Consider the following 26,513-nt stretch of genomic DNA (forward strand, 5'->3'; position numbering starts at 1 on the left):
TGGTTGCATTAAGTCAGCCAGAAGTAATCATTTACTCCACAAATTTTCGCAGTGTTGCTGTGGGCTGAGTACCATGCCAAGCAGCTGAAAAAAGTTATGTTAGGACATAAACCTTTCCCCCCAAAAAATCCATAAAATGGATAACTCAGAATTGTCTTTATGGATAAGTGTGCCTGCAAACACACTTAGTATAAGATATTTTTAAATTTTTACATGAAATTGAACAGCGGTACTCAGGATCCGGGTCCCACTCGGTCACTAGATTACTTCTTTTTTATGTGAATCAAAAGAACTCTTGTGTTAAGTCACTATTACTGTCTAGGCATTTGTCTGAAACATGCCACTCTACCTGGCCTTCATTTCCTAATTCCAAATGAAAAAGAAAGAGGGTGAGTTTCTCCCTGTGATCCAGCAGATGGCAACATTGCTTATAAATATATGATTTGCTACTATCTCTTATAGGACATTATTACTCTAAGAATGTCTTTGGATTTGAGTTATATAAACATTCACTTATTGTGTAAACAATCCATGTTTTAGTGCAGAAAATTAGAAAAAACAGATAAGCAAAAAATAAAAGCATTACCAATAATCGCATTCCCCATAACATTTTCATTTATGTTCTTCCAGAAAGGTACATATTTACATATACATTTACATATATTTACATGTGCTATATAGGATTTACTATATATTCTTTTTCCTATCCTATGTTTTTCCACTTAACAACGTATAATAAAAATCTTTGAATGTCACACTCTGATCACAGTGATAAGTGCACACTATGTTATATGGCTGTACCATAGCTTCAGTTTGTCTTTATGAATCCCCTATCACAGGTCGTTTAGGTTGTTTCCATATTAATGGTTCTGTTGATTATAGTCTGTCACTACTCTATCTTATTTTTCTGTTAAGGAAAATAACATATTCTCATTTTGGAAAATTAGAATTAGTCTGTATAGACAAACTGTACAAATACATAAAGAAGAAAACAAAAAGTACCCATGATTTCATCGATCCAAGATAATCACAATTAACATTTTGGTGTAACTTCTTTCAGTATTTTTTCTATTTACCTATTGCCATTATTATTACATATTATCTCCTGTAACATTATTGTAAACATTTTCTCATGTTAAAATTTTTCAAAACTTGATTGCTGTTTTACTTACATCCCCTGCAAAACATAACAAAGCAAATCCCCCTGCTTCATGGATCCCATGGACATGTACTGGCTCCAGGTCACCATTTCCAGTCTTCTCAAATTATAACAGCTCAACCCCCACTATGTAAAAATCTATTCTCTTCTAGAAGATATCTGTGCACATGCTCAGGAGCCAGAAACTGAGAAGTCAACACCATTGCTCCTTTTGAGGAGATGCAGCATGGAAAACCTTCACTTACTTTCTCCCTTATGGGGACAGTCATGAAACGCCTCACCAGGTATTGCTGCCAATCCCAGGGGACCAAGAATTGAATAAAGATGTGAGGGCAGCAGCAAGAGAAAAAAAAAATATCTAATTGGGGAGGTAAAGAGACATCAAAGATGAAATACAGTCACTTCACAGTAGGACCTGGGGACAGCCCTGTTTGACTCAATCAAATCCATTCCTTACTAGCTTTTCCTACAGAAAATCAGAATCTATTCACAAGATCCACAGGATCTATGAATATCACTTCATTGATGGCCTTTCTTTCTACAGGCTTGTTTCTTCACCTTTCTCCAGAAGAGGTGTCTGCTCTGTGATCATGTGACATTAATACCACTTCAGTATGCAATAATAAAAAGTAATAATCATAATAGCAGACAGTTACATAGTCCTGACTGTGTGCCAGGCATGTAAAGTGCTTCACTCACCTGTTGAATTCATATTAACCTCGTTAGTCCTCATGCCCTTCACCTCCACTCAACTCTCTACTGATGAGCTGACAGCATGGCCTGGGAATTAATAGTATTGCACTACCTGTCATGGAATATTTTTCTGTAATTATTCTTGAGGTCTCAAGACTTATGAGGAGACAGGTGCCACCCCTTAATGGCAATGAGCTATCATAAAAGAAGTGATCATTCCAACATGTAGTTGAGAAAGGGTTTGCTTTGATGAGCAAGAGCTGGGAGCCCACACACTCCTCAATTCCTGCCCATGATAAAGAGTGAAACAGAGAGTGGACATCTATAGTTGGGTTTTATCTTTTTCTGGCTTTGCCTATCCCTTTCTGTGGCTAGATTCACCATCAGCTGAGCCACTTAACATGCTACTGGACAAAAGAACAGAAAAAGTTGGCAGCAGAAACAGGTTGTGTGGAGTGTCTGTGTGTGTGTGTGTGTGTGTGTGTGTGTGTGTGTGTGTGATAAGCCTGTGTTAATATAAATGCCTATACAGGCCGGGCACACTGGCTCATGCCTGTAATCTCAGCACTCTGGAAGGCTGAAGTGGGCGGATCACCTGAGGCCAGGAGTTCGATACCAGCCTGGCCAACATGGCGAAACCCCATCTCTACTAAAAAATGCAAAAAGTAGCCGGTTGTGGTAGCAGGCGCCTGTGGTCCCAGCTACTTGGGAGGCTGACGCAGGAGAATCACTTGAACCAGGGAGGCAGAGGCTGCAGTGAGCCGAGATCCTGCCACTGCACTCCAGCCTGGGAGATAAGAGTGAGCCTCTATCTCAAAAAAAAAAAAAGCCTATACAGAAGACATAAGTTTGCAAAATAATAGAAAAACTGCATTTCTTCAAAGTGTACTCAACAATCGGATAACAGTTTCATCTACTTGACTGGTAAAAAAAAAAAAGTCTGATAACATCCAATGCTGATGAGGATGTGGAGGGTCAGGCATTGTACTACATGGCTGGCAGAGGCATACATTGCTATAACCTGTTTTGGAAAGTAATCTGATGTTATCTATCAAAAATTTAAATGTGCATATCTCTTGGCCCAGGATTTCACTTTTAGTACTCTATTCAACTATAATAAAAGCAGTGGTATGTAAAGATATATGTACATGGATATCAAATGAAGCTTTTTTAAGCAAAAAAAGAGAAGTAAATGATGAAAACAGCCTGAATCTCCATCAATAGGTATTGATGAAATAAATTAAGGTGCATCTATGCTATAGAATATTGTGAAGCTGTTAAAATGATATGATATTCTGTTAAGTGAAAAAAACAAGTTATAGATAATGTGTATAGTATAATTCCATTTAGTTTAAAAACAGTGAAAACAAACAAACTGAAACACCTAGATATGCTATGCAAATCTGTACATGAAAAAGGCACAAAAGGATTTACATTAAATCCTTAATATTGATTATTCTGTGGAAATAATATTGGACATGGATGAGGAGAAGGCCATAAACTTTTTAAACTATACCTTTGTAATTCAACTTACTGTAACCATCATGTATTACTTTTCAAATTTAAAAATCCAATAAAATCAATTGGTAAGAAACAAAGTGATATTCTCAGACAACTTGAGAGGATATTTATCAGAAAGCCGAATGCCCCCCTACCCAGAAGATAATCCCAGATAGAATAAAGAACCTTTCTGTTAAAGTTTCTCAAATGGAAATGCCCTCCCTGCTCTTCAAATAAAGTGATGTATTTTATATTCCTGTATTCCTCTAATTTCTCTAATAATCAAAACATTCTGTACAACTTGATGCTGAAAACATTGTCAACCAAACCCAGAATCCAGAAGTAAGGTTCTCCCAGCTGCCAATCATACAAGGCAGGAATGTGGGTGAGAGAGAAGCATGCCAATGTCTCGCAGCAGCACCTGCCAGCCCTTGGTCACGAACCAGCAATAACTTGGAAAACATAGGCCAACATCCAAACACACTCATTTGCTCTACAGGTATTTACTCAGCACCTCCCTGTTCCAGATCCATGCTAGGCGCTGACTACACCCTTGGTTGCTCCTTTTAGCATCTGTCATGCAGGCATGGAGGACACTGAGCATATATCCTCTTCAGAAAAGTTCCTAAAATACTTGAATACTGTAATGAAAACACCCCCTTTGCCTTGTCTCCTCGAAGCTAAAAAATATTAATTCACAGATCTCCAAATACAAAAACAGGCCAAGGTAATTCGTTCCAGCCCTTTCCTGAAACCCAAATCTCCTCACGACAACCTCTTCCTGAACACTTCCCTCCAGATGGAGAATAGTAAGAGTGCAGGAGTGAGGAGATATTTACATGCTGGTCAAGGAGATGCAGCATTTTTTCCACTTTTTAATCTATCAAGTATTAAGTAAAAAGGACATTCAATAAAATAAATAATTGCTGGTGAAAGTTGCTGAATGAGGTTTTTCCTAGAGCACAGAAGGTTGAGCTCCTCCTAATTCAGAAAATAGCATTAAGGTCTGTGGTTTTGATAGGACTCTGGAGGACATGCAGACACGCTGCAGAGCTCTTGACCCATCATGGCTTCAATTTCACTTTTCTCAGCTTTCTTAAGCTCTCCACATCTGTTTTAAGGAGTGCCCCAATCCACATGCAATTCTCTGATAAGATCCCTGATGAAAATATCAAATCTAACTCCACATTAGGAATGTTGCTAATAATAAAACTGAGATTTTTTTCAGTATAAAATGGCAAAAATTTCAAAATAAATTATATTCAACCCTAATCAAGGAGCAAAAATTGGAAGTACTTTCAGACTTTGCTCATGAGAATATAAATTGTATAATCTTTCTAGAAAGCAATTTAGCCATGTAGACCAAGAGCTTATGCCCTTTGAGACAGTAATTACCGAGCAAGAAATGTAGCCTAAGGAAATAATCAGAGATGAGCAAGAGTATATATTTATAACAATATTCACTATAGAATATTAGTAAAAGTTATTTAAAACAACCCACAAGTCCAGAAATAGATTAATCACATAAATTACCATATAGCCATAGGATAGGATATTATGCAACTATTAAAAATACCATTTTGAAGAATATTTCATGACAAGGGAAATGGCCAAAATACAGTTAATTTTAAAACTTTAGGTTATAATTGTATCAACATTATGATCCCAGCTTAAAAAATATATATATACATACTTACATTTGATAAAAGATTACATACATACCACAATATCAGCAATTGTTCTCTGTGAAAAATGGTGTCACAAGTTATTTTTTATTCTTTTAAAACTTTTCTATCTTTTCTAAATTTTCTTCAGGAAGCAAATTATTATTCATATTTATATGTCTATCTAGATAGACATATGCATACATATGTATATTCAAAGCCTGTCCTCCTGCTCATCTAACTGAAGGAAAACTTCATACTATTCTACATGGTTCCAGAAGTAGCTTGTGTGGCTTTATAAATAATATGTTGGACCAAAAAACTAATATTCATCCAAACACACTCACAATGAGGCAAGGCCAGTGGTGCTTCTGCCGTTCCAAAGCTAAAGCAGAAAACTGCCTGAATCCGAGCCACTTACATGCCTGGGTTTCACCCAGTTCTAAAATCTCCAGGCTACTTGTTTCTACTTAACCCTTCTCATGTTACTTCTTGAGAAAGTCTCTACCACAGAGACAGCAAAGGCAGGGAAAGAGGTTGAGAGCAAATTACAGCAGTAGTAGTTTGGCTGCATGTTATCAGCTCCCCTCCAAAGATTTAGAAGGGGTATGGAACTAATGCCTAAAATGGGATTTAGAGATCCCTGTGGACTTTAATAATTCATGCTACACCAGCACCCAGGGAAAGCTGGAAGCTACTTTAAGAATCAAAGTACATACAACAATGTGCCAAAAGCCCCGTGCAGATGATGGTGTCAGATTCCCCAGATGTGCATGAGGCCCAAAATCAATCCTCCAAAAGGCTGATCATTTCTTTTAAAAGAACACTAAATGCCTCAAGTCCTTTCAGGAAGTAATAGAGAAAAGGGCCAAATCACAACAAAAAATGCATCATTTCTGAAAGAAAAAATTCTGTAGAGTCTGTGAGTTCTACTGATAATGGGGTCCCTAAATACTTCAGACTAAGTAACAGATGACCACAACAGTGTGTGTGTGCACATTTGTATGTGTATGTACACACATATGTGTGTATGTAGGGATGTGTTTGGGTAGAAGTGTAGGTATATCTGTACAAGTGAGTGTGTGGGGGGTTGTATAGAGCATGTGAGTAGATGTGAGTGTGTATATACATGTGGGTGTGTAAGGGTGGTATGGTAGGAGAACGGAGGGAATAAAGTAGGAAATAATAGGAACAGAGAATGGATATAAAACACAGCCCTAAATGAACTAAAAGGAATCAACATCTTTTAGACGACTATGGAAAATGTGATTAAATTAAAGGGAAACTAATATTTTAAATGCCACGAACCTCACCAATGTGATAACATATTTAGTTTAGAGAAGTTCCAATGTATTGCAAAACAAGGAACATCCTCATAATGACCATTTAGGAAATTAAATGACAGTCCATACTATCCCTAGTCCCACCCAGCTGAACTTCCAGAAAACCTTCGATCAATGCCTGACCCATTCCAATGAAGTCTGATAATGTATCTGGAGCTCTGTCCCCACCAATAAGAGGATCTGGAGAGTGAGAGCTGCTGGCGTCAGCCTGGTCTAACCTCCTGGGCATGCACATGAATCGACACACACACATACACACACACACACACACACACACACAGAGCTGCAGGCTCCACCACTTCCCCACCCATCTACATGACCACCACACATGACTGCTTGCCTGCCTCAGTTTCTTGTATGATTCTGCCTTGCTTGGTTCCATCCATCCATCCATTCACCCATCCATCTGTCCATCCATTTATCCATCCATCCATTGACCCATCCAGCTATCCATCCGACATTTATTAAGAGCATTCTATGTGCTATTCTACTGGTCTCTCATCTACATACCCAGCCTGCTCAGTTGGGCATAAACATTTTGATTAATTCTTGTCAACCCTCCTCCCCAAACCTAAATATTGAACTTTGATCCCCACATCCCTGGCCCCCAGGCACTTGCTTAGGTACTGCCTCAAACAGTTCCCATGCAACTATGCAGGGGAAGCCTCTCCCAGAGGCCCTGGCTGCCACATACAGATGCTCCTCGACTTACGTGGGGATACATCTCCATAAACCCATTGAAAGCTAAAAATATCATAAGTCAGCTGGGCACAGTGGTTCATACCTGTTATCTCAGCTACTTGGGAGACTGAGGTAGGAGGATCACTTGAGGCCAGGATGTCAAGACCAGCCTGGGCAACACAGGAAGACCTCATTTATTTTTAAAAAAAAATTTTTTAATTAGCTGGACATGATGTCTCACTCATGAAGTCCCAGCTACTCAGTAGGTTGAGACAGGAGGATTACTTGAACCCAGGAGTTTGAGATTACAGTAAGCCATAATCATGTCACTTCACTCTAGCCTAGGCAACAGAGCAAGACCCCATTAAAATATATATGTATATGTAAATGTACATATGTATATGTGTGTGTGTGTGTGTGTGTGTGTGTGTGTATATATATATATAGTCCAAAATGCACTTAACACCTCTAACCTGCCAAACATCATACATTAGTTTAGCTTACCTTAAACGTGCTCAGAACACTTACATTAACCTACAGTAAGGCAAAATCATCTGGCAACACAGCACACTATACAGTATCAGTTATTTACCCTCATGATTATATGGCTGATTGGGAACTATGGCTCAGTGCCACCACTCGGCACCAGAAGAGAGTACTGCACCACACATATGGACAGCCCAGGAAGAGATCAAAATTCAAAGTATAGTTTCTACTGAACAAGTATTGTTTTTCACAACCTCAAAGTTGAACAATCATAAGTCAAACAATGATAAGTCAGGAACCATCTGTATATCCCACCACCCTACCCCACCACACACACACACACACACACACACACACACACACATACACACACCCCAAGATCTGGTCCCTGGCACATCAATCCAAGGTGAGCTATCTTTCCGTATGCCATTTCCACCATGAATTTTACTTCTGGCTACAACCCCACACCCACCCCACACATATATGTTCATCCCCTAGCACTGGTTCTACGTATCCTTGCTCCTTAGCTTCCCCTCTCATATCTCTTGTAATTCTGATAGGCCTCACATCCAAGGTACACATTACACAAAAAAAGTACTAAGATTGTGTTTCTTTGGTCAAAATTAACATAAATAATACTTTGGGCGGCCGGGCGTGGTGGCTCATGCCTGTAATCCTAGCTCTTTGGGAGGCCGAGGTGGGCAGATCACTTGAGGTTAGGCATTCAAGACCAGCCTGACCGACATGGCAAAACCCCGTCTCTACTAAAAATACCAAAATTAGCCGGGCATGGTGTTGCACTCCTGTAATCCCAGCTACTCAGGAGGCTGAGGCAGGAGAATCTCTTGAACCCGGGAGGCGGAGGTTGTAGTGAGCCAAGATTGCACCACTGCACTCCAGCCTGGGTGACAGAGCAAGACCCTGTCTCAAAAATAAAAAATAATAATAATAATAATACTTCGGAAAGCACTAGACTCACAAAGTATTTGTTGACATTTTCATTTTCCCAGTCTTGAATTTTTTAGCTCTACTAGTTTTGCTTTTTTTTTTTAATTTAAGACGGAGTCTTGCTCTGTCGCCCAGGCTGGAGTGCAGTGGCACAATCTTGGCTCACTGCAACCTCCGCCTCCTGTGTTCAAGAGATTCTCCTGCCTCAGCCTCCTGAGTAGCCAGGATTACAGGTGCATGCCACCATGCCCAGGTAATTTTTCTATTTTTAGTAGAGATGGGGTTTTGCCATATTGGCCAGGCTGGTCTCGAACTCCTGACTTTGTGATCCACCCGCCTTGGCCTCCCAAAGTGCTGGGATTACAGACGTGAGCCACTGCATCCGGCTGCTCTGCTACTCTTAGTGAATGATCTATAGCCACTCTGTTAGAACAGGAGGAAAGAGTGGCTTGAATGCAAATGGCACAGAATCCTATGTACTTACAGTTACATGTGCAACATCGAAAAACAGTTTAGACTCAGAGCATCTGAAACAGCCAGTGAGTTCATCAGCGTCAGCCCACCGTAGTTGATGTAGCTGGATATACCAGAAAGTGGGGAGCCCCCATTGCCCAAAGGAAATTAAGGAAGACCAGCAAAGCAAGGGCACTAGGTGGAATTCAAGCCCTATTTCAGCAACAAATCTTAAGTCCCACTATGTAAGCAGATGGAAGAAAAGCGCTAGCATAAAAACATCGCAGGACCTATGTCAGCACTGCTAAGAACATAGTCTGGGCAAGACAGCAGGTGAGAAGCCCAGTCTCTCTTCCACCCCAAAGTATCCTGAGTACAGAGAACCAACCCTAGCCCTGTACACCATGCCTGGTGTCTCCATAAAGCACACCCAAGACGAAAGCATTGGTCTAGAATTCTCCACTGTGCTACCCCACTGCCCACCCAGCCCCAGTAAGCCCCAAAACCTGAAGAAGAGTGTAGGGCTTGCCTTTGATCAGCCGTTCGGGTCTTGTCCCTGGTAAGGTCCACATTGCCTGTGCCAAGTGTCCAAAGACAGTGGCGTCAAGAGTGGAAAGCTTGGGCCCCATGATGTACTTCTTATCACCTGCAGTAAATAAAGCAGAGAAGTCAATGGGCTGGCCCACACTGCCCCACATCATCACAATGGCATTTAGCACATTCTATTACATATTCCTTTACTGATACCAAAAAGCTTTGCAGAATCGAAATACATGCACACCCTTTTGCTTAAAAAAAAATAGAACAAAAGTAAAATGAATTAAGCAATCATGTGATACATCAACCCATAGAACAGCAACACAGGGAACATACCAAAATAAGCAGATGAGGAAGGGCATTCATGGAAAAAAGGGAGAACTGATCACCACCAGACCTCTGGGAACCTTCTTGTCTCAAACTCAAGTAAAGCCTGTGATGCTTAAGAACACCTGGAAGTTTGCTTAAATCATCTCAAAAGTAACCCAAAGCAAGCAAAGCCAACATCAGCACTTACATTATTAATTTAAATATATTTCCCCAGGAAAAACAAGAAGCCTAAGCTCCTTAAGAGGTTTGGAGGTGAGGTTTCCCATGACGCTACATGGTCCTGGCAAAGTTCTCACCTCTGAGGATCAGCTTCCATGGAAAACAATAAGTAAAGAGTAGCTATGAGGTCACAGGCTCAGCCCTGGCATCACGATCCCATGAAAGGATGTTTCACACTACTGCTCCCATCTCTCCATTTCACACTACTGACTTCATCCAGGCCTTGTCACCGGACTATCACACTCAACCTATTAAAACTGACCCAAGTCATCTCCCAGGCTACTGTTAGACACTACTGCATATGGAGGGAGCACTAGGGGAGATGGAGCTGCCTAGCTCACATCCTGGCATCACCGTTATTCACTGTGGGAATCTGATCATCACGTAACCTCTACAGCCTCAGTTTTCCCATCTGGAAATGGGGATGAAACTAAGAGTTTCTATTTCTTTGGGCTATTGTGAGGACAAAATGACATAATGTACATTAGCACTCATGACAGCCCCTACCTTTCTCCAGTCCTTTCCACATCCCACCTGACACTATCAACTTCCTAAGACTTTTTTTTGAGACAGTCTCACTCTATTGCCCAGGCTGGAGTGCAGTGGCATTATCTCGGCTCACTGCAAGCTCCACCTCCCAGGTTCAAGTGAGTCTCCTGCCTCAGTCTCCCAAGTAGCTGGGATCACAGGCAGCCACCACCACGCCTGGCTAATTTTTGTATTTTTAGTAGAGACAGGGTTTCGCCATGTTGGCCATGCTGATCTTGAACTCCTGACCTCAAGTGATCTGCCCACCTTGGCCTCCCAAAGTGCTGGGAATACAGGCATGAGCCACTGCGCCCGGCCCTAAGACACTCTTTTAATCATGTCACTCCCTTTCAAACACCTTCCATGGCTTTTGAAATGAGTTATAAAATGAAGTCCAAACTCAACTTAGAACTTAAAGTGCATTATACATTGCCTCCAACCCATGTTCCAGCTGTATCCTTCATTCCTCCCTTATCCTAGCAAACCTGGGGACCACCCCCATTCCCCAGCACAATTTATGCCTCCAACTGCTACACCTTTGCTCATGCTGTGCACCCTCTCTCTGCCCCCACAACTTATATGTGCTCACCACTTCTCTCGAATCAATTCTATCCATCCGTCAAGGTCCAGCTCCAGCCTGCTTTCAAAGCTTTCTGGTGGCAACAGGAGCTTTCAGTTCATACAGTCCTGTGTTTACATCTCCCTTTTGCACATACAACCTTATAGGACTTTAAGGCATTTAATGCCTATTAACCTTCTGAACTATAAAATGAGAAGAATAACTGAGGTGACTTGAGCAGAGCACACAGCAGATATATCCTGCCTCTTGTCTCTCAGGCTTCTTGAGTGACATTTTTCCCATAATGCTCTATACACAGTGTGTGTGTGTGTGTGTGTGTGTGTGTGTGTGTGTGTGTGTGTGTGTCTGTGTGTGTGTGTGTGTGTGTGCATTTTATCTTTCCAGCTAAATTGTTAGCTCTTTGAAAGTAAGGGTCAATTCTTGCTTTTATTTAGCAAACCCTTATACCACATTTACTACATGCCTGGCCTGGTTCTACATGCTGTACTCTAGGAATATCTACCCCTTTCACCGTTCTTGAGTGACAAGCTGAGGAAACTGAGTATCTGATGACAATGCACAGGAAAGACAGGAGGGGGAAATGGCTGGAGGTGGGAACACAAGGTAACAACTGTTACAGCACAAATGAAGCAGAAAGTGATTTTTAAAAATCATTTCCCCTATATATGCCATAGAGACCAAGAAATACCCTACAGTAGGGCAATATGCTGAACCTAACCAAATTGCCTTTTCTGGCAAGGACAATCAAGTCATTCACATTAGAGTTCTTAGCTATTTCCTATTGTCAACCAACTTCTCCATCATTTGAGTCTTACACCATTATCCAAATACTGGGGGGAATCCAGAGAAAGTACCAACCGGACAGAAATAATAAGGAAAAATCAGATACCATAAGAAGCAACTCCTAAGGTGTTACTCCTGAGGGTGCATCCCGCTGGCGCCATGCCTCCACCGCACCCCTGCTGGCATTAAGTGAACGCAGGCAGGCAGAGGGAAACTGCACAGGAGCTCTCCTGCCATCCTGCTAGGGCAGGAGGGGGTGTTGGCCAGGTGGCCAAACAGTCCTCCCTGTGGGATTGTACCAGGCTCAACCCATTCAAAGTCCAAACACAGGTCTACCCACACACTGGAAGCCATGAGAGGGCTTCAGGACCACTATGAGAAGGGCTATTCACAGCCTCAGAGAGAAGAAAACAGGATTTTTGTTGTGTGTGTGTGTTTTTTTAAGAGCAACAATGGCTTCATGGTCAAAAAAAGAGGGGGAGGGGGAGAAAGAAAATGTTGCTGTCCTTGAATTACTCAAAAGGACTCTAAGGGAAATGCCAGAGTCAAGTCCATAAATTTTGAAGTCTTGTAGAATCCAAAGACTGAAGGCAAAATGTGAAACATAAATATGAATAAAAATTTGGAAAACCTAGAAATAGAACACACAGGACTTTGACAAAAAGAAAAAATGATTAAAAAAATCATTTGAACCCACACATCAAATAGCGCATATAATGTCTGGCCAAAATTCGCCATCTGGCTTCGAAATGTTAAAACTGGAAGGACACTGAGTTAGTGACTAAGGAACAAGGTTGAGAATGCTACCAGGTCTCCTGACTTCTGGCCGATGCTCTCGGTCTCCACAATGTGCCACATGGACCTTAATCTCAGAGATAAAGACCATATGGAAGAGCAGGAGGGCTGAGCTGTGAAAGTTTACAAAAGGATGCTTTTGTCAGGAAGGAACACAGAACGCAAAAGGGAAAAGAGAACAGAAATCAGGTGTTTTCAAAGGTGCCTGCAAAAATATAGGTGGAATTTAGTATCTGTGGAAAATGCTGAGTGGCAGATCTAAAATTATATATGTGTACACACATACAGGACAGTTATGAATGTAAAGAATATAAAAATTCCCATCATTCAAAAGTCCTCATAATACCTGATGGCAGAAAGCCTTTTTAAATTTTTATTTTAAAATAATTTTAGATTTACAGAAATGTTGCAAAAATAGCACAGTGTGTCTGTGTGGGTGTTTCTGGATGAGATTAGCATGTGAATTAGTGGACTGAGTAAAGCAGATTGTCCTCCCTAAGGTGGGTGGGCCTCATCCAATCAGTTGAAGGCCTGAATAGAACAAAAAGGCTGACCCCTCACCTGAGTAACGACGACAGATTTCCTTCTGCCTAACTGCCTTCAAACTGGGACACTGGTCCCTCCTAGGTCTCCAGCTTGCCAGCTCATCCTGCAGATCTTGGGACTTGTCAGCTTCCATAATTGTGTGAGCCAACTCCATATAATAAATCCTAATGGTTCGGTTTCTCTGAAGAATCCTGACTAATACACCTTCGCAGGGCATCATATCAGGGAGCATATAATGTCCTATATCTTATGACTGTGATATTAACCGTAACCATGTGGTAAAGGTGGTATCTGCTAGATTTTTCACTATAAAGTTAAGATTTATTCCTTTGTAACTAATAATCTTGACAGAGACACTTTGAGACTTTATAAATATCCTGTTTCTCCTCAAACTTTGGCCTGCTAATTTTAGTGTCCATTGGTGGATGTTATCTGAAGCAAATATTACTGTAGTGTTTGCTTCATTGTGAGTTTCAATTTCTCTCATTCTTTGTATTGATTAGAATTCTACTGTCCTTTCTTTCCCATTTCCTAATGTATTCAATTATTTATTTATGTAAGTATGCACTAATGGATATTTATTTTATTCTATAGGTTATAATCCAATACTCTCATTATTTTGTTGCTCAAATTGTTCCAGCTTTGGCCTTTGGGAGCTTGGCAAAAAAAACATTTTTAAAAGGAAATCAAATAAGAGTTGACTCTGCTTAGAGACAAAGAGGCCAAGTTAAAGGCTTCGGACTGCAGCACTCTTGGGGTTTGCAAAGTGGCCCTGGATCTCACGACCAGGGGGTTTTGGCAAAAGCAGAACACTCAGGACACTTGTGAAGGGCACTGAGGGAGGAGACTTGGGTGGTGAGGCACTGTGAGCTTCATTTTTGGCAGGTGAACCATCCGGTGACTTCCATAGGATGGACAGAAGCAGCTGAGGGATATGTGGGCACCTGTAACTCCCCTGCCAGCCTCCGAGCTCAGAATGTGAACTGTGAACCATCAGTGAGGGAAAATGAAGGTTGAAAACATCAAAGCCCCGGGTGTGAAGGGACCTAGGGTACATCAGACCTTCTAAAGTATGCTCCACCTGAGGCCAGCTTCTAAGCACCCAGAACACCTCCCCAAGGGTGCAGAGCCCTCCTGACGATGAGGGTGAGTCCACATCCTGATAGTAGCAAAGTGACTTCAGGTTCCCGCAGTGACCCGACAGACCTCATGGCTTGGTCTTCAAGTGGCAATCAGAGAGCACAGACCAGGGATAAAATACAAGGACAGTGACCATGCAGCCAGAGGGAGGAGCCAAGTGGATCTGGAGAAGGAGAGCCCATAGGGGGAGTAGCAGGGGCTGGTTCTACTGTGGGGCTGGAAAATGACAGTTGGCCCTGGATATCTGTAAAATTTCATATGACCTCTCCTGGGTGGTTTAGGCAGCTCCTCTCTGTGAGGAAGGCCATATTGTAGATGAAGGAACCACTGGGGCACCCAAGGATGACCAAAAACTGAGTGGAAGTACTAAACCATGAATAACAAGAATGTTAAGGGGTCCTGATGGATATCAGCTCTCTTACCCAGACTTGAGTTCACTGTGATTGGACTTTGTCATGGATCATTGGTTATAAGCCTTTAGTGAACTTGATTAACCCAAGGCTGCTTATCCTGACTGCCAAGCTTGACCAGCCCTTCCCACATTGTCTTCCACTTCTGTCATGGGCAGCCACAGAGGGTTGACCAGGAGATAAGGGACACAGCAAAGACAAGAGTATGTGGAGGAGGACTGAGCATGTAGACTAGGTCCCTCACCCCCACTGAGTACTAACTGAGCGGATGGCTGGATGAGCAGAGCAGGGAGAACAATAGAGGACAAAGACACACAGTTGTCCAGGGAGAATGGAAGCAATATTGAGTCTGAGAAGAATGGCCAGAATCCAGGCCTGAAGACTTAGGCCAAATTGAGGGAACAAGCAAGCTGCAAAGCTGAAGCGAGCTGAACTTGATGAGCAAGGGAACCAAGAGAATAGGAGGGGACAAGCAGAGAGCCACATGCCCCTGAAAGTTCCAGTGGGGGAGGGGGTGCCATACGCAGCATAACTGAGGAAGTGCTCACAATCCTAGGCTGTTTGCTCACTGCCTGGCTCTGAGCCGCCCCCTTGGGGAGGATGTATGAGAGCTGACAGTGTGTGATGCTCTCCAGACCTGGGCAGGACAAACCGAGCTCTACCTCCTATGAATGGTCTACTTCAGTCAAACATGCAGGTGCTCATCCTATCCTCCCTGCCCCAAATAACTCCGGCTATCTAAGCCTGACCTTTCCATTAGGACTCAGACCAAGTCCTACCTCCTCCACTGCATGAAGGCTTCCCACACGGTCCCAGTCTACTGGAACCTCTCATTGTCCACGCCTCTGTTAAATCCCAGAGGGGCGAATTGCTTAGAGCGAGGCTACTGAGAGAGTAGTCTAGCAGCACCAGCAGCACCTGAGTGTTAGTTAGACATTCTTAGATCCCATCACTGAATCAGAATACTTGGGAATGGGACTAGAGAACCTGTGTTTAACAAGCTTTCGGGTCAGGGTTTCTCAAACTTTAGAGGTATTAAAATCACCAGGATAGTCTGCAGTTCTTGGACCAGACTGTGAATAGCACTGTTCCAGGTGATTCTTGTGCACACTGAAGCTTAAGAAGTACTGGGCTAGAGTATATCATTGGTCTTAAACTTGAGCATGTAGTATAATCACCTGGAAGGCTTTTTTTTTTTTTTCTTTTTTAGTGGAGATGAGACCTCGTTATGTTCCCCAGGATGGTTTTGAACTCCTGGGCTCAAGTGATCCTGCCGCCTTGTCCTCCAAAGTGCTGGGATTCCAGGCATACAGCACCACACCTGGCCTTGAAAGCTTTTTAAAAACACTAACTCAAGTCCCTGATCCCAGGAGTTTCTGATTCAGTAGGTACAGAGTGAGATCCAAGAATCTGCATTTCTAACAAGAGCCCAAGTAATGCTGATACTGCTGCTCCAGGGAGCACACTTTGAGAACCACTGGTCTAGCTCACACATTAGGTAAATCACACAGCCATCTTGCAGTCTTACCTACGTGTAGGTCCTATCTCCTCAAATAATTTTTAAGCACCTTGAGGGCAAGTAAACTTCTATTTTACTTTTCTGTCCATCTGGTACCTATCACATAGGAACCATCAATTAAGGTTATGATAGCCTTAATTATGTTTGATCTCTGTCCTTTCTCAAAATGGAGAGCTATAATAGTGATTAAAAAGTATAATAATGTGAAAGCATTTTGCAAGCTAGGAGGTGCTATTCTAACATAAGGAATTCTTTTATACTCATTTCCAACAATCAAAACAAGTAATGTGGACAGAACCAGTTCAACCTCTCTCCAAGTGTAGGAATCCCTTCTCACACTTTCCTACCAGATACTCCCCATCCCCAACCCCAACCCTGCTGAAACTTCTCTCCCATAATTTACTGGGTAGGGCAGACTATTCTGTGCTTAGATGGTTCCTTATACTGAAACAAAATGGTCTCCTTAGAACTTCCACCATGCATCTCAGTTCTTTCCTCTGGAATTCACAAAAAAAAATTATGGCCATATTTATTCTACCACAGCACCCATTCCTAGTCTCCACTAACATACTTCTAAGGAAAAACTGATCACCTGTTTTCATATATATCATTATGAGATGGTGGACAGAAAGTTTATTTCAGACCACTGGAAACACTACAGAAATGAACTTCTGAATCTCATCTCCTTCCTCCCTAATTCTTTTCCCACTTCCCACTGGTCACTGTCAGCTCCACTTCCACAATTTAGCTAAATTTCCAAACTCTATAAGTGACAAAAGAGACAAGACTGGCTGTGCTATAAAATATAAGTTCAAGGGAGAAACTAAAGAGAATAATCAAAAGATTTTCCAAGACTCATTTCCCTATGAGTCTAAGACATAAAGTACAATTGTGTGTTTTACATAGGGCTCCCTATACCTGAGCACTCATGTGATTTATAAGCAGGCAATTATAGTAAAATCAATGTGGACATTATTCATACTTCTAATTGTCCCTCTCTCACCTTTCATTAACTAGAAATTGAAGAAAAATTAAGAAACAAAGATTTTGAGTGCTTTTCCCAATGAAACAGGAGGTCACGGTAATCTCACTATCCAAGCATCAAAGAGCACACACTTAAATGCACACACTTAAAACTTTTTTTCTGCAAGTGAATCTCCCAGAGGGCAAAGCTACAGGAAAAATAAAATCTACTCCCTATTCTCTTACACTCCTGATCAGACCCCACTTTGTCAGAAATAATATGTAAGACAAGCCACTTCCTTCACAAAGCCCTTGTTTTCATACTACAAGCATACTCTAAAATCACTATATAGATTGTGATTAGCTCACGATCGCCAATTAGCTCACATTCTGGGAAAAAATAAAGGTGGGTGGAGAAAATACCAGAAGAAGCTCCTTAATTTAATCCCTCTTCAGATTTCATTCTAGAAAGCAACTAGATACTCCTTTAATTTTTAATAAGATTTTCTGAAAGAACACACAAAAATTTATCTCTTTCCGGCTCATATGAACTATCTCGACACCTTCCTCACTGGCCACCAATACCACCATCACTCTGTCTCTTTGCTGATGTCCCAGCTCTTATAATTCCTTATGGATGAAAGCAGGAAGGACATAAATCCCCGACTCTAAGCAAAGGGTTGTGTATCCTCCTCTGTACTTTGGTCCTCTATTAATGTGTCTGAACACCTTCTGAACTCTGGACACTCAGAGAATCCATGGGCATACTTTATAATTTTAGGAAACTTGGATGAAAGATTTGCACCAGTGTGGAAAGACTTTACACATCTAAATTAGGAAAGTATTCCTCAGGATGAGGCAAATGCCTACTCAGGCTCACTTACAATTTAGCATCACTAAACAGCTCCCGGAAGTCTTAAAGATCTACAGCTAACATCTCCAACAAAGATATCAGTTTTACCAACTCACTGATGATCAGCCTTCCTGGTTCTCTCCCTTCTTGAAGCTGCTACAATATTGTTGCTTCTGAGTGACTGCACAGTCAGCTGAAATGGTGAGATTTGAGGGCTATAAAAATTATATGAGTCTCTCTCCCCAGTATCACTTTCCCAAATACATCTTCTGAGGATAAAGAAAATATATCACTCAATTCAAACTGCATTCCAGGACAGGCTTTCCCATCAATTTCATTTCTGTCTCATCTGCCCTGTGCTGGGCAATCAAAGGAACCAGCTGTTCTATCTCTTTATTCAATAAAGACTATCTGGTAGCCACCAAATTCTGGTTAACGAAACACCACATCAGAAAGAACACAATGTCATGTTGAAATTTAAGTTCAAATCCTTTTATAAGGAACTCGCCCATCTTTTGAGAAAGCTGAATAGCAGCAGATCCTAGTGGGAGGTTTTGTGTTTGGCCCTCGGGGCCAGAAAAGCTCAACTCTGCAGGCAGACTCCACATTCCTGAAGGACTTTTCTTCATTTTATGGATTTTAGGCTTCACCTTAGCTGGAATCCAGGATACTCAACCACTTTCAAACATGTACATAATCACCAAAAACTGGTAAAAATCTTTAACCACCAGCACTGTTTAGGTCCTGCCCAGAGTGGTGAGCCTTGCTCAGATCAACTCTCTAGGCACGGATCCCTTAGGAGGAAACCAAATTGTGTTCGACCTTATATTTAAACATGGAAATCCTAAACCTTCTCAAACCATACACTCATCAGTATGCTGGACATCATGTCAAAACTCTTTGTGATGCTTCTCTTCAAGTGCAGGAGTGAATCTCTATCTTCTACTCTGTGGGAGACCACGTTACTCCTCTACCGAATGTGCTTGTCTCTGTGCCCTGACAATTCAATGGTTAAGAATGGCCACAGGCATTGCATGCTTGTATCAAAACATCTCATGTACCTCATAAATATATATGCCTACTATGTACCCACAAAAATTAAAAATCAAAAAATTTTAAGAAGAAAACAAAGTGAATAAAAACCAGGATGGCCACAGAACTTTCTCCAGTGCATACTTCTTTCTCAAAGATCACTGAAGCCAGAAACAGAAACCTCTTGTGTGCCAAGCTCTGTAATCTTGGAATAGATCCTGGTTTCTTCACAGCCAAGATGAGAATCCTCCTGCTAAAATCAGAATGGCTAATAATAATAGTCCCTGGAGAGACTGAAAGATAAGATTCTACTTCTACAAGATGTAAAACCTTTTATCTAAATAAATAACTTGAGGCAACTGAGATCGGGTACTTGCCACCCACCATAGCAGGATAAGCTATGACAACCTCTTCTGACAACCTGGCTTTACTCTGCACAGCCCAGCAGCAGCTGAAAGAAGTACCTACTGGGATTAATAGGATTGGGGCTATGTAGGTATATTAGTTATTGCTGTCTGCATAATAAGTTACCCCCAAATTTTGCAGCTTAGCAACAGACATGTATTATCTTGCAGTTTCTGTGGGTCAAGAAACCAGATAGCCTTAGCTGAGTGCCTCTGCTGGGTGCCTCTGCTCAAGGTGTCTCACAGGCTGCAATGAAGATGCCAGCCCTTTGCAGTTATCTCAAGGGTTGACTTGGGGAGGATCTCCTTCCAAACTCACTCACACGGTTGTTAGTACATCTCAGGTCCTCACTGGCTCATGGCCAAAGATATTCATTTCTTGCCACATGGACCTCTCCATAGATCAGTTCACCTCAGAGCTGGCTTCTGTCAGAGCAAACAAGTGAGAGGGCAAGAGGAAGAAAGAAAGATGCCTAAGATAGAAGCCACATTCATTTTGTTATTGAATGTTGGGTCATCCCAATGCTTCTGCCACATTCTTCTTGTTAAAAGCAAATCACGGCCACGCGCAGTGGCTCACACCTGTAATCCCAGCACTTTGGGAGGCCGAGATGGGCAGATCACTTGAGGTCAGGGGCTCAAGACCAGCCTGGCCAACATGGTGAAACCCTGTCTTTACCAAAAATACAAAAATTAGCTGGGCGTGGTGGCGCATGCCTGTGGTCCCAGCTACTCAGGAGGCTGAGGCAGGAGAATCACTTGAACCCAGGAGGCAGAAGTTGCAGTGAGCCAAGATCACACCACTGCACTACAGCCTGGTTTACAGAGCAATACTCTGTCTCAAAAAAATAAAAAAATAAAAATAAAAGCATATCACTAGGTCCAGCCTACACTCACAGGGAGAGGAATACACAAGAGGCCATACAGCAGGAGGTAGGGGTCACTGTGATCCATTTTGGGGGCTGCCTACCACAAGAAGAAAACATCCTTATTTACCAGAGCTACATTCAAAAGTGATTAGAAGTTAAATGTCATGATATCTGTAATTTACTTTAAAATACTTCTGTACAAAAAAAAAAATAGGTAAAGCAAATATAACAACATAACTATTAAATCTAGGTGGTGATTGTAAAGTTGTTCATTGTACTGCTCTTTGACTTTTCTGTTGGAAAAATGTGATCATAAAAAATCAAAATCGTCTGATCTTGTTCACTTACAGTGGGGTCAGTGGGAAAAAAAGTATATTAACTATGCTAAATTTTAAATTATAACATTTGGGAGACATCCTCCAATGTTTAAATAGGCAATGCTAAATAACCTCTCCGACAAGTGAACTAAGTCCTTTGGGACCTATTTGGTACCTATATGCCCTGATGGTCTCATCAAAATGTTTTTCTTGTGATTTTGTCTAGATTGTATACTCAGTAAGGACAGAAGTCACACCAGATGATGAACTCTACTTGAACACTAGGACTACATCCTAGTACCCAGCCCAGTGCCCAGTATACTGTAGGTGTTCAGTAAATATACTTAACTTTTAGTAAATGGCAACTATTTATAATACCTTGCCCTTAAATATTTTAGACCAAAATTATCTCTTTCAATACTTGATGACATGGAACTCCAGGGTCTAGAACTCTGGGGTTCAACCAAGGACGTGTATAGGTGCTTGAGCTAAAAGTTCATGAAGAAGTATTCTGGCCTGTCCCATACTACTCTAATGCACTGCCCTAGGAGGGCAAGATGACCTTCTAACCAGGCAGCATGACAAGTTAGGCCCTTATGTTCTCTTAAGAGAATGCCCAAGGTTAGAACACCTAGTGTCTAATGCAACAAGACTTCTCTTTTACCAACAACATGGGAGAGCTATACCTCTGGAGGTCACCAAAATATTAAATGTAAAACAGTTTCATTCAAGACTTGTCATGGCTTGCCCTCTCTCCCATAAAAAATAACTTGTATTAGAAGGTGAGTCTAAGAGGTGCCTGTGCCATGGTTGTAAGGCAAGTTATCAAAACCTCTAGGCTCTTTAAGCTCTACCTCTATAATAATTTTGATCAGAAAAAAATATATAGGAGATATGTTAAAGTAGATCTTCAAAGAAATGCTTTTGGAGCTTCAACATTCAATCCTGAGCTTTTATTAAGAAAGGTTTTTACAAAAGTTTATATTCAAAAAACACGGTCGGCCGGGTGTGGTGGCTCATGCCTGTAATCCCAACACTTTGGGAGCTGAGGCGGGTGGATCACCACCTGAAGTCAGGAGTTTGAGACCAGCCTGGCCAACATGGTGAAACCCCATCTCTACTAAAACTACAAAAAAATTAGCCGGGCGTGGGAGAGCACACCTGTAATCCCAGCTAGTCAGGAGGCTGAGGCAGGAGAATCGCTTGAATCCAGGAGGCAGAGGTTGCAGTGAGACGAGATTGCACCATTGCACTCCAGCCTGGGCAAAAAGAGCAAAATTCTGCCTCAAAAAATAAAAAATAAATAAAATAATTTAAAAAAAAAACACTGTCCACAAGGAAACCCACTCTCCCTTATATAACATCCATGGAAGAATCTTCTCCTAGAATTCAGGACCAAGAAAAAAATTGTCCCCATTGAAGAACTTGAGTGTTTCCTTTTCTTAGAAAATAAACACAAACCCCACGTTTCCCTTTTTACCTTGGTTGCCAAAAGCTCAAAGTTAAATTGCACCTAATCTCAGGAATTAGCTCATTCCAAAAGCATGATACTTTTTCTAACAGGCTTCTGAAACTTTTCTATTAATGTTTTGTAATATATTATATTGCCCTGTCTTATATGTATTATAACATTGTGGATTGCCTCAACTGACCTTGGGAAGTTAGTATCCATTCAGCAAATAGTTATTGAGTGCCTACTGTTTACTAGGCCTTCTGTTAGAGACCAGGATTAGAGGGAAGCCAGTCAATTCCTTCAGGATGACAATGTCCACAGGCAAGGTTACCAGAAAGTAGGGGAGGGGAGGAGGTCAGGAAGAACCCAGACAAGTATAACACAGCACTCCCTTGATGGAAGTACAAGCTCAGTGCAACAGCAGAGAAGAGAAGCACCTCCAACATAGCCCAGGGAGGCTGGGGGAGGTTAGGAAGAACCTTAAGAAAGTTTCTAAGTAAGTGGAAATAAGTTTTGAGAAACTGTGAAGTGAAGCAAAGCAGGGGAAATAGCCTGTGTAAAGGCACGAAGTTGCAGAACAGCACAGTGGACTTCAGGGAATAAGCGTAATTTGGTGTGGCAGGAATCAAGGCACATACGGGGAAAAAGAAGATGAGGTTGGAGATGTGAGAATTCAGCTTGTGGAGAAAAGGAGTTTGAATTTTAGCCTAAGAGGAACTGAGAGCCTACAGTTCTAGTCTGCATTTCAAGGTAACCACTCTTAGTGTTAAAAACCAAAACTGGAGGTTGGGACATCAGCTAAGAAACTGTGGTTAAAATCCAGGCAATAGACATGAGGTGTTTCTACCATGGTTGCGGGGCAGAAAGGAAGTACCTAGAGATTCAGGTACCTAGTGAGCACCCCGGTGATGAATTAGAGCCATCTGTTCGGTAAGCAAGCACTTACTGAGCATCTGGCTCTACAGCCAGACTCCCAGGGCCAGGCCTGACCCCCACCCCTTATTAGTCATGATCTCAGGTAAGCTAATTCACTACAATGTACCTCAGTTTCCTCATTTACAAACCAGGCATAATAATACTAATGATAATAATACTACCTACCCTCATATGCCTTTAGTGAAAATTAATGAGAACAATTTCTACCGCATTTAACTCTCACCAAACCCATGAGAATAATATAGATATTGCTATATCACCATAGGAAAAAATATATATAGTAGGTATTTTATATATTATACATATATGCATAATACATATTATAACATATATATATTATATATAGTTTTGAGGGTAGGTATATTATACATAAGGGTATATATTATATATTGCATTACTATGTGCCTAAGCACACTGTAAATGCTCCATAAATGTCAGTTCTTATCAATATTAATCAATATTATTTTGACTATTTACAAGACATGGCTCTGGGTGAGTGGGATACAGTGACAAATGGAACAGACAAGGTCACTGCTCTCACGGAGTTTACATCACATGAAGAGACAATAAGCAAATCAATCAATCAATTAAAAAAAGCAGCCAATGATCAGCGCTACGCAGAGAATTAAAGCAAGGTGATGTGATAGAGGGTGGCTGGCAGCTACATTAGAGTGGGTGGTCAGGGAAGGCCTCTCTGTGGAAGCGCTATTTAGACAGAGACATGAATGTCAAGCAGGATCGAGCAGGCAAAGATCTGGAGGAAGAGAATTCCAGGCAGGGGAAGAGTTAAGGCACAGGCCTGAAAATCAGAATAAGCTTGGAGTGTCTGTGAGGCAGAGAGAACCGTGTGGTTAAGATACAGCAGGCAAGGGCCGGGGTCTATGAAATGAGACTGGAGAGGTCAGGCAGTACAGGGCTTTGAAAGCCCAGTGGAAATGACGCAGAAGGAGCCCTCGAGAATGACTTCTGGCATCCAGATGGAGCAACTGGATGGACGGTGCTGCCATTCATGGAGAGAGGTCAGAGGGAATGCTGGGTTGTTGGGAGGATGAAGAGTTCTGTTGTAGGATGTGCTGAATTTCTGCAGGCTCTGGGACATCTAAGTGAAGATCTAGAAAACAGCTGGGATAAAGGAGAGTGATTACATGTGGGAGTGTGCGGAGATAAATATGTGGGAGTATGCAATGTGAGATGAACAGGGTGGGGGCTGGAATCCTGTTAACAACTGATACATTTAAGAAAAAGCAGGGATGAAGGATCAGAGAAATCCAATATGTAAGATAAAGGCTAAAAAGTGTTCAGCAATGACTTCTGGCTTCTCCTAGACTAGGTTGAAATTTAAGCTCTACCATTTACAAGCTTGGTGTCCCTGGGCAAGTTACTTGTTTGTGCCTAAATTTCCTCATGGATAGGATCGTTGTGAGCATGAAATAAGTTAATACCTGAAAAGCTCTCAGAATAGTGCTGGCACGGAGTAAGTGCCTGCATGTGTTAGTAGTTGCTACATCCAACAACCGGGGATCACCTGAAACTACAAGAGACTAATGTCTCATCAAGAGGGAGCTGGGAATCTCTGGAGCTGAAAAGGTGGGATAAACCTTCCAGAGGAGAAAGCCTGTCCTTTGTAGTTTAATACACCCAAGAAATCTCATTTCCATTAGCATTACAGAAGAGAAGAAGGGCTCCTCGGTTCCTCTCTCTCCAGTAGAAGCTTCCTACTTCCAAAAAGCCAAAACATAATAGGAATGCTTTTGAATGGTAGGGTATTATTTACCCTTTCAAGAGCCAACTAGTAGCAGGTCTGGGAGTCAGGATGCAGTGGCTCTTAGAGTAAATGGGAGATAAGGGAAGAGCATCTGCTACATTTTAAATACACTTTTGTGTGAAGGGAAAGCAGGAGACAGGACAGAACTGGGTGGTGTCTTTAAAGATACGAGACTTAAAGAGATAAGAGTTAAAGACAGGAAAGATAATTTGTACTCAAAGGCCCGAATGGAGAGAACAATGAGCCGATGGGGCTGACTCCCAGACGGATGAGGTGAGTGAAAGGCTGGGGCACCGATGGGGGATACTACGGAGAGAGTGGCTTCCATGACTGAGCTCAGTCTTGACTGAGTGGAAGGGAAGTCAATATGGGAAGGGGCTAATCCACTGTGGCAGCAGTGGGGAGGTCTGGAGGCAGGCAAAGATCAAGGGTGGGGTGTTGCGGGCTAAGCAGGAGTGCACTTGCAGGCTGTGAGGGCAAGGTCAGGGGTCAGAGGGCCCCAGGAACCAGTTAAGTCTGGAGCTGGCCTATAGGAGAGGGCGGTTTAATGGAAAGAGTGAGGTAACTGCAGGGCTGAGGCTCACTGCTGTGAGGTGCTGGACAAAAGGTTCACACAAGCGCTGCGATGCCTACAGTGGGATGGGGATTGCCACAAAGAGGATGAGCCTAAGTCAGTGTCCCTCCACATAAACCTTTAAGATTCCATGTGACTCTCAGGAAATATTTCCCTCAAACATCAGAGACAACGCTGTGAAATATAAATAGATCAAATGACATTTAAAAAAAAAACCTCAACATTCACTGGAAAAATGGATAAAGGATTGGGACAAATCAAAGACAATACATGATTAGAAAAATCCAGGCCAGTCGCAGTGGCTTACACCTGTAATCCTAGCACTTTGGGAGGATGAGGCAGGTGGATCACCTGAGATCAGGAGTTCGGGACCAGCCTGGCCAACATGGTGAAACCTCGTCTCTACTAAAAATACAAAAATTACCCAGGCATGGTGGCAGGTGCCTGTAATCCCATCTACTTGGGAGGCTGAGGCAGGAGAATTGCTTGAACCTGGGAGGCGGAGATTGCAGTGAGCCAAGGTTGTGCCATTGCACTCCAGCCTGGGCAACAGAGAAAAATCCAAAAAGGAAAAATATTTATTCTTACAAGTGATTAAAGAATCAGAAGAATCAGAAAATCAGTTTACAATGAATAAAGTGGTAAACTATTTTTGAGTAGTAAGATCTGATACTGGTAAGACCACGTGGCATTGAAGCCTCAGTCTTTTACTGGTCACTTTGTCAATTTGTGCATCTTTTGGAGAGCACCATGGCGATGCCTAGGAACAGACCTAACAATGTGCATAATCCTTCACCCAGTAATTTCACTCCTATGAACTTATCTCAGGGAAATTATTCCTCAGAAGTAATGCATCCAGACATGAAAGAGTCATCTATAATTCAAAAAAAAAAAAAAAACTGGACTAACTTTAAAGGAATCAATACAGGTACTTTCCAACACAATTAAACATTATGCAGCTATTAAAAGAGATAAACTTTTAAAATACGTCAATACAGAGAAAAATGTTTAGTGTTTGCTTTTAAAAAATAAA

The 26,513-nt window shown here is 41.8% G+C and overlaps 1 protein-coding gene across 8 annotated transcripts in view; it reads right to left on the minus strand.

Annotated features, from left to right (window-relative positions):
• Nucleotides 1-26,513, minus strand: part of FAXC (failed axon connections homolog, metaxin like GST domain containing) — a 78,896-nt gene that overhangs the window by 11,087 nt on the left and 41,296 nt on the right. For all 8 annotated transcript variants that reach the window (NR_144464.1, NR_144463.2, NM_001346533.1 and 5 more), the window contains one exon: nucleotides 9,457-9,573. Coding sequence is in view for 6 of the 8 variants with exons in the window: in NM_001346533.1 (NP_001333462.1) it covers nucleotides 9,457-9,573 (117 nt within the window). In the remaining 2 variants the exon portion in view is untranslated. The remainder of the gene's footprint in view (nucleotides 1-9,456; nucleotides 9,574-26,513) is intronic.

This window comes from Homo sapiens, chromosome 6 (genome assembly GCF_000001405.40).
Source record: "Homo sapiens chromosome 6, GRCh38.p14 Primary Assembly".
NCBI lineage: Eukaryota > Metazoa > Chordata > Mammalia > Primates > Hominidae > Homo > Homo sapiens.